The sequence below is a fragment of the Homo sapiens genome, chromosome 21 (genome assembly GCF_000001405.40).
Source record: "Homo sapiens chromosome 21, GRCh38.p14 Primary Assembly".
Taxonomy (NCBI): domain Eukaryota; kingdom Metazoa; phylum Chordata; class Mammalia; order Primates; family Hominidae; genus Homo; species Homo sapiens.
In genome coordinates this window covers 39,552,432-39,560,496 of record NC_000021.9, presented here as the reverse complement: position 1 = coordinate 39,560,496, position 8,065 = coordinate 39,552,432, and the positions used below count along the sequence as shown (strand labels likewise).

General features: G+C 43.1%; 1 annotated feature.

The window, feature by feature from the left end:
* Positions 488-1,077: an enhancer, noted in NCBI's record as "NANOG hESC enhancer chr21:40931347-40931936 (GRCh37/hg19 assembly coordinates)". NCBI's record gives its function as "activates a minimal SCP1, AML or CMV promoter by ChIP-STARR-seq in naive H9 embryonic stem cells {active_cell/tissue: H9 hESC(naive)}" and the evidence as "EXISTENCE:reporter gene assay evidence [ECO:0000049][PMID:30033119]".

The following is an 8,065-nucleotide window of genomic DNA, read 5'->3' as shown; positions in this document are numbered from 1 at the left end:
GGGCAGCACTTGCCTTAAGGCAATTAGAGGCCCCCAAATCCCACTAGGAACCACTTATGCCCGGTATGAACTGAAGACTTTCTAGGCACCATAGGCTGTGCGAGGCACTTCGGGTGTGTCTTTGTAGAATCCTCATATCACCCCTGTGGATTCAGTACTAATATTCTCCACAGCTCTCTTGATGACACCAACTGTATTAGTCCATTTTCACACTGCTATAAAGGAACACCTGAGATTAGGTAATTGATAAATAAAGGAGGTTTTATTGGCTCACTATTCTGCAGCGTACAGGAAGCATGGCTGCATCTGCTCAGCTTCTAGGGAGGCCTCAGGAAACTTACAATCATGGTGGAAGGCAAGGGGGAAGCCGGCACTTCTTACATGGCCAGAGCAGGAGGAAGAGAGAGCAAGGGGGCAGGTGCCACACACTTTAAAACAACCAGATCTCAGGAGAACTCTATCCCAAGAACAGCGCTAGGGGGATGGTGCTAAACCCTTCATGAGTGACCGCCCCTGCGATCCAATCACCTCCCACCAGGCCCCTGCGATCCAATCACCTCCCACCAGGCCCCACCTCCAACATTGGGGATTACAATTTGACATGAGGTTTGGGCAGGGCCACAGACTCAAACCATATCACTAAGTCTTGCTCAAGGTAATGCAGCCATTAAGCAGAAGAGCTGGGAGGTGAACCCTGCCCTTTCTCCTGTGCACTGGAGCCTGAGGCATAAAACCACACAAGCCCCTGGCCAGTCTCACCCTCGTGACTTTAGGAAACAAAAGACAAGCCATCACTAGAACATGCAGTGAGACCTTCAACTGTTTTCAGTCTTGACTTGAGGAACCACGGGGTGCCCTGCTGGCAGAGAATCCCAGAGGCTACAGGGCCCAGGTGGGGAAGAAATTCTTTGCCTGTGGCTGATTCTCCTTGCCGTTTCCTTTTCCCTATCCAGACCCCCAGGCATGCAGCTGCTAAGGAACACTGCTCACCTCCAGCAAGGACGGCCAGGGTACCGCGCCTCCACATGCATTCCTAATCCTCAGCTGTAGGAAAAAGCATACCTGTCCATACCCAGAGTAGGAGGCTCCATACAAAGCAGGATGGCTGGCCAATCCCACCCACAGTGAGTCCTATAGTGACCATTACAATAATAGGAGTTAAGAAGAAACCACTTAAGCAGATAGCAAGGGTATGGGAGTCCTTGGTAAGGCTTTTCTTTTTAATGAAAAGCAGCCCTGAATTACTTTCCTTTCTAACCAAGAGCAGCCTGTAAAATCGAGCTGCAGACATAGATACCTGCAGTAGTGCCAATCATGTTTAAGATGGCGGCTCCATCTTCCCTTGTCTTTGTCAGCCACATGTAATGTAAGGAGCAGACAAGATGGCGCCCATCACCTGGAAAGCTCATTTGCATAATAAGATGAGGGTGGGGCAACCAGCCTTCCCTGTGTGCTATGTAAACATCATACCTGATTGCACTGAACCAATCTGTGAGCCTTATATAAATCAGACACCACCTCCTCAAAGTGGACTATAAAACCTGGTGCATTCACCAACAGCCGGTCCTTTGAGCTTGGAGACCCCTTTCTCTATGGAGAGAGCTGTTTCTCTTTCTCTTCTCTTCTGCCTGTTAAACTTTGGCTCCTAAACTCCTCGTGCATGTCCATGTCCTAAATTTTCCTGGCACACGACAATGAACCCCGGGGTATGTACCCCAGACAACGTAGCCGCTTCAGCTACAGTCCAGAAGTTGAAACCAACATCTTGAGGAACTTCAAGCACAAGTCAAGAGTTAGGCTAACTCTCACAGTACAGTTCCATCACCACATTCTATACTGTAGTAATTCTTTCCAAAAAATACGTGCATGGCCTGATTGGCTTAGCCATAGTTGAGCCATCAAAGGTAGACCTAGGAATATACAACAGTGTTGAACCCTGACTGGTCACAGTGCTAAGTACATTGCATAAATTTTCTCATTCAATTCTCACAACATTCTAAGGTACTATTTTTATCTCAATTTTAGAACTGAAGAATCACCCAAAAAGAGGTTGAATCCTTCACCCAAAATTACTGTATTAGTCCGTTTTCACACTGCTGATAAAGACATACCGAGACTGAGCAATTTACTAAAGAAAGAGGTTTAATGGACTCACAGTTCCACGTGGCTGGGGAGAGCTCACAATCATGGTGGAAGGCAAAAGGCACATCTTACATGGCAGCAGCAAGAGAGAATGAGAGAGAAGTGAAAGCGGAAACTCCTTATAAAACCATCAGCTCTCGTGAGACTTATTCACTACCACTAGAACATTATGGGGCAAACCACCCCCATGATTCAATTATCTCCCACCAGGTCCCTCCCACAACACGTGGGACTTATGGGAGTACAATTCAAGATGAGATTTGGGTGGGGACACAGAGCCAAACCATATCAATTACATATCTGGAAAATAAGAAAACCAAGATCTAATTGAAAAGCTTAGGATTCTACCGCTGTCACATCCAATGTAGATGTTGTTGTAAATCAAATGAACTGGAATTCAGGCACATTTTTACTGTCACTAAAATTTCCAAACCGAACACTTCTCTTTTTCTAGAATTCAAAATTATACCTTTTTTCAGGTTCAATACTTCTAGTCCCATTTTGTTAATTTGGAACATATTTTCTCTTGAATTTATAACACACTGGTTATTTTTCAGTTGGCAATAAATACCCTTCCTAATGTGACCATAGTAAACAAGTTTAGAAAGACAAACAACCCCATCAACAAGTGGGTGAAGGATATGAACAGACACTTCTCAAAAGAAGACATTTATGCAGCCAAAAGACACATGAAAAAATGCTCATCATCACTGGCCATTAGAGAAATGCAAATCAAAACCACAATGAGATACCATCTCACACCAGTTAGAATGGCGATCATTAAAAAGTCAGGAAACAACAGGTGCTGGAGAGGATGTAGAGAAATAGGAACACTTTTACACTGTTGGTGGGACTGTAAACTAGTTCAACCATTGTGGAAGTCAGTGTGGCGATTCCTCAGGGATCTAGAACTAGAAATACCATTTGACCCAGCCATCCCATTACTGGGTATATACCCAAAGGATTATAAATCATGCTGCTATAAAGACACATGCACACGTATGTTTATTGCGGCACTATTCACAACAGCAAAGACTTGGAACCAACCCAAATGTCCAACAATGATAGACTAGATTAAGAAAATGTGGCACATATACACCATGGAATACTATGCCGCCATAAAAAATGATGAGTTCATGTCCTTTGTAGGGACATGGATGAAGCTGGAAACCATCAGTCTCAGCAAACTATCGCAAGGACAAAAAGCCAAACACCACATGTTCTCTCTCATAGGTGGGAATTGAATAATGAGAACACATGGACACAGGAAGGGGAACATCACATACCAGGGCCTGTTGTGGGGTGGGGGGAGGGGGGAGGGATAGCATTAGGAGATATACCTAATGTAAAGGACGAGTTAATGGGTGCAGCACACCAACATGGCACATGTATACACATGTAACAAATCTGCATGTTGCGCACATGTACCCTAAAACTTAAAGTATAATAAAACAAAAAAAAGAAAAAAAATCATGCCTCATGAACGAGAAGCCACTTTAAATCCCGCTTCATTCCTGAGTGGGAAATCCTACTAAGCCAGCAACTAATGGAAGTATAATATTCTAATAGTTGGGTTATTTTAAAACAAACTCTGTAGAAAGGATGGCTTTCATAATCCCTTTTAGATGCTCGAGACAGCTTTGGTACCGTCACAGAATGAGAAATATTTAAAGACCATGTTCAAATGATTTGCACACGAGCATTAAATGTGTTTCTGCAGGAGCATGTCGAATGAAGCAACGGTATGGTTTAGGAGAGCAGGCCTGAATTACATTCATCAGGTTTGCTAGCACATTGCATTCATCTATTCATAAAATAATTAATGTGTGAAGGGTAAGACTCACATTTTTCCCTCCCGGGTCTTCAGGCTGAAGGTTTGTCATAGCCACCATCACAACCAGCGGCTTTCCTGTACCCAGTTGAACACAGAAAAGGCTTTGTTGTAGGAATTAGCCTCCCAGCCTGAGGGCCTTGGGCTCTCAGAGCCACTTCATGGATGGCAATGCTGTTGCCATGGTTACCAGGCTAACCCTCCACAGTTTGCCTCTTCACCTCACCACAAAAGCTTCGGGAGAAAATAAAACTTAAAGTTGAGCCGCATGCTAATATATGAGCCAATACTGTTACTTGTTAATGTTAAATATTTAAAAAATCATTTTGGAAGAGAAAAAAATAGGAAAACAGGTCTTTGGAAAGCCATCTGTAATTGCTCAACTATTTGGATTTTTAACAGCTCACCAGAGAAAACAGGTGCTTTCCAAGCTTACAGATGTTGCTTTAAAATGGACTTGTTTCTTGGTTTAGAGCCACGCTGTTTGTGTTGGTTTTATTCTTGGATTAAAACCATTGTGACAGTCAGAAATCGGAGAATAATTCATCTCAGTCCCACTATTTAAAAGCCTCCCAACCATCATGCATAGAGCATGGCTTTGGGAAATGGAATTTTTGCTTTTCAATAAATGTCTTTACATTATGTCTATTTCATGTCTTGATGGGACTTCCCACCAGGAAATTCTATGACAAGTTACTTCAATAAGAAAAATTAAAATCCGGCCAGGTGTAGTGGCTCACGCCTGTAATCCCAACAATTTGGGAGTCTAAGGTCGGAGGATCATTTGAGCTCAGGAGTTTGAGACCAGCCTGGGCAAAAGGGTAAAACTGTGTCTCTACAAAAAATATATATAAAAGTTATCCAGGCATATGGACACACACCTGAGGTTCCAGCTGCTCAGGAGGCTGGGGTGGGAGGATCACTTGAGCCCAGAAAGTCGAGGCTGCAGTGTGCCGTGATTGCACCACTGTACTCCAACCTGGGCAACAGAGTGAGATCCTGTCTCAAAAAGAAAAGAAAAAGAAAGAAGCCAGGCGCAGTGGCTCACGCCTGTAATCCCAGTACTTTGGGAGGCTGAGGAGGTCAGATCACGAGGTCAGGAGATCAAGACCATCTTGGCTAACACGGTGAAACCCCGTCTCTACTAAAAATACAAAAAAAAAAAAAAATTAGCTGGGCGTGGTGGCGAGCGCCTGTAGTCCCAGCTACTGGGGAGGCTGAGGCAGGAGAATGGTGCGAATCCGGGAGGCGGAGCTCGCAGTGAGCCAAGATCGCGCCACTGCACTCCAGCCTGGGCGACAGAGCAAGACTCTGTCTCAAAAAAAAAAAAAAAAGAAAAAGAAAGAAAAATCCTTTTCAAGGAGGTTTTACTGATATAATGAGGTAAAAATTATAGTGTCCAATTAAAAGCCAGAATTTATGTTTTATGGACATAAAACCTCAGGTGTGTGCCAGCATGCCTGGCTAACTTTTATATATATATATATATATAAAATATATATATATATATATTTTATATATATATATATATTTTATATATATATATATATATATATTTTTTTTTTTTTTTTTTTTTTTTTTTTTTTGGTAGAGACAAACTTTCACCCTTTTGCCCAGGCTGGTCTCAATTCTTTTCCAGAAATCAGAATTACTCTAGATGAAGCACATCTTGGGCCCTCAGGGCAAGCAAAGGTCTTGGGGGCTAGTGGCATCACTTAAGCAGCTTCATGAGGAGTGGCTTCCAAGAATATGCAGAGCCTGGCCCCCTGCACCTGCAGTGCTGAGTACAATGCTGGCAGTAAGGATGACCAGCTCAGAGTGGGAACCAGAACATTGCCTGTAATTTTAGAAGTAAGGCCAACTCAATCCACATATATATGAAATGATACCAGAGCACTTAATATTGACCTTGGAATTTTGCAAAACCCACAAGGCCTGAGGACAGCTAACCTATGCCCAGGGAGAAAACTATGTGCTTTCTTCTGCATGATTCACTTACAGATAAGTAGACATCAAGGAGTTAAGAGCACTGGCTTTAAGTTGGGAAACTCTAGGGTCAAATGTCAGCCCTTTGCTAACTGTGAGTACTTAGGTGGTCCACATAGTGTTTCCAAGTGTTCATTTCCTCGTGGTAAAATGGGGATGATATTAATAATACCGACTGTATGACTTAATGAGCTATTGCAGGTCAAGTGCTTGGCACAACACTGGGGCAGAATAGACATGCCCTATGTGGTGGTTATAATGATGATGATAAGAGAGAAGGCGGTGGAGGAGAAGGAGGAAAGGATGGAGAAAGAGGAAGAAGAAAGAGGAAGAGAGGAGGTGGGGGCGCAGAATGACTAGGAGGAAGGAGGAGGAGGAGGACATGGAGAGAGGAAGGCAGGAGGAGAAGAATAAGGAGCCCTGAGCAGAAGGAAGAGGAGGAGGGGAAGAGGAAGGAGACCAGCGGCAGAGTATTTACAATATTTATAATCGCCTGCTGTGTACAAACAGTGATAGAGAAAATGACTCCACGGCTGTGGATATGGAGTGACCTGGGTTCAAATCCTGATCCAACACCCAGACATTCATGATCTCTAAAAGATCTCCATGAGTGCCAGAATTTACCACTTGGCCTTCCCTTCAGATCAAATTTACATTTTTTTATTATAATTTCAATAAAGGAAAGAATCCACCCCAACCACCTCCCACTTAAACAGGAATATTATGTAGGAGACCAAACTAAACTGTAGCTTGAGTTGGCTTTAGAAACTCTGTCTCACCTTCCCACCTTTTCTTCTTGTCTCTGCAGAAAAAGTCATTCTGTCTTACAGTCCATTCTCCAGAGCATAGCTCAGAAGAGGGCCTCCGAGGCTGCGTTGAGGTTCAGAATTTCTCAGGGCCACTTAACCATCCTCCTCACAACTGATGGCCCCTCCAAGTGTCACCAAGCAACAGAACGCAATAAAATCAAGCACTGGCTGAGCTTTAAGCTGCAGGAAATATTTCAGGTCATCAGCTGCCATTGGCAGCATTTGTTGGCTGCAGCACTAGGCCTGGGAGACAGAGAGTAAAGATACCCAAGAAACAAGGCTTAGGGAAACAATGCTGCCCTGATATTTTTAATCTTTTGCTGAGACAATTCCCCAAAATATTTCCAACTAGGAACCAAGGTTATTTTCCTGATTGCAAAAGCAGGGTAGCTGTGCCATTTTAGGAATTTGAAAAGGCATGCATGTGTGTCTGTGTCTGTGTCTGTGTGTGTGTAAGCTAAGCATTTGAAGTACAATTTACAGATTGCTAAAGACCAACTCTCGCTATTCACACAGATCATATAGTTTATTCAATAGATACCTCTTGACCCAAATAATAAAATACTTCATGAATTCACAGGCTCCAGCATCACAATCTGCAGAGATCTAAAGTTATAGAGTAATAACATCTGGGTGTTCACCAAAATTGGCATATAGTAGAGATCCAAAGTTCTGGAGTAATAACATCTGGGTGTTGGCAAGGCACCTGTAGTGTAGTTTGATCATTTTACAGTATGTCTTAAACAACATTTAATTCCTTGTGACACTACTTTCACCATAGGCACAAGTCACATTAGTATCTTTAAGTATCTATTCCATATCTTCATGGACCCAAGGTTCTTACAGATTGGCTTGTCCTTTCTTGCTGTATTCACTGCTTTTCAGATCCAACTCCTCAATGCTTAGACATTCCAAGATCCTCCTGCCTCAGCCTCTTGAGTAGCTGGGATTACAGATGCAAGCCACCGTGCCTGGCTTCAACAACTCTTAAATAAAGAGTCTGCCATTTTCATTTTGCACTGAGCCCTACAAATTATGTAGCCAGTCCTCGGTATAGGAAACATCCTTTTCTTCTCTGAGCAGTTGAAGTTTCCCAAAAGGAAGTTTTACTATGAAAATGAGGTAGCAACATCTTCATAAATGGTCTCCTGCCCATTCCAGCAGCAGCCCCAAATACTTTTGTGTTCCCAAAACAAGGCATTTCAGGATCATCTTGGGTCCCGAGATCTAAGATCTAGTACTATTTACACTTCAGGTGTATTAACCCTGTCTTTTATTTTCTTTATTCTGATTCTGT